Consider the following 1,566-nt stretch of genomic DNA (forward strand, 5'->3'; position numbering starts at 1 on the left):
TATACTTGCCATATATATATATATATATATATATATGCCATATATATACTTGCCATATATATATATATGGCCATATATACTTGCCATATATATATATGCCATATATATATACTATGCCATATATATGCCATATATATGTATATATGCATATATATACTATGCCATATATACTTGCCATATATATATATATATGGCCATATACTTGCCACACACACACATATATATATATATATATGGCCATATAATTGCCATATATATATATATATGGTGACCTGTGCAAAAATGTGTGCATGTTATCTTAATTTTAGTGGCATTGGACAATGTTAACGTTGTATTTCAATTAGAATATGCACAAAGTATATATAGGTAATATAATAGGCTGTTCTCATGTTGCTATAAAGAAATACCCGAGACTGGGTAATTTGTAAAGGAAAGAGGTTTAATTAGCTCATGGTTCTGCAGGCATCTGCTTGGCACCAGCACCTGCTTGTCTTCTGGTGAGGCCTCAGGAAGCTTTAACTTATGGAAGAAGAAAAAGGGGGAGCCAGTATCTCACATGGCAAGAACAAGAGCAAGAGAGAGTGAGGGGAGGTGCCACACACTTTAAACAACTAGATTACAAATGCAAGGATAGCACTAAGCCATGAGGGAACTGACCTTATGACCCAAACACCTCCCACCAGGCCCCACCTTCAACATTGGTGATTATATCAAAACATGAGATTTGGAGAGGATGTCTAAAAGATATCAGCTAAGATAAGAAATGTATTTTGTTTTTAAAGGTAATTTTTAAAGAATGAGTAGAATATTTAAAAGAAGCTAAATAAACACATTTTACCTTTTAAAAAATATTTCAGATATTTTTTCAAGAAAAATAGAGTCTTTTAGGCTTCTTCTAAAAGATTGTTATCTTGTTTATTGTTCTAATAGCATTCTTGATTGATAGTATAAGCTTTCTAGTTGAATATAAAGCAGAAGCCTCACTGAATGGACGTGGTAATTGGATTTTATTTAAACATATTTAGTGTATTGATATTTTATGGTAAATGAGCAATTTATAAATAAAATGAACTGAGGCTTATGTATTTCTTTTTATATTTGAGGAAATATATTTATTTTATTCATATTATCTATAATAAAATTAATAGTTTCCTGAAACTAAACTTTCCCTCTGATGTATTTCCTGACATCCTGTCAAATGGTTAAAAGAGTAGTTATTGTGTTAATTACAGATGAATGAATGTGCTGTACCACTTTAGGTTACCCAAATCACCTGCAAGGGTCTTTTACTAAAATAGAGAAAAAATACACATTTGGATTAAGTGAAGAGTTGTTTCTTCAACCCTTGGTTAAGAATCACCTGTCAAATTAGCCTCTTTTTGTCCTTTCTTTATTCCTATATTTTATTTCTTTATTGAGCTCCTACTTTATGGATGGTGCTGTTTTACTTGTTGTGAGGTACAGAAAAAAATATAAAATTCTAGTCCCTGTTTACAGCGATTTTCTTCCTACTCCCTTGGAATGTTCCCTAACAGAGTGCGTAGCTGTGTGTATCAATTTCTTCCT

The sequence above is a fragment of the Homo sapiens genome, chromosome 3 (genome assembly GCF_000001405.40).
Source record: "Homo sapiens chromosome 3, GRCh38.p14 Primary Assembly".
Classification (NCBI taxonomy): domain Eukaryota; kingdom Metazoa; phylum Chordata; class Mammalia; order Primates; family Hominidae; genus Homo; species Homo sapiens.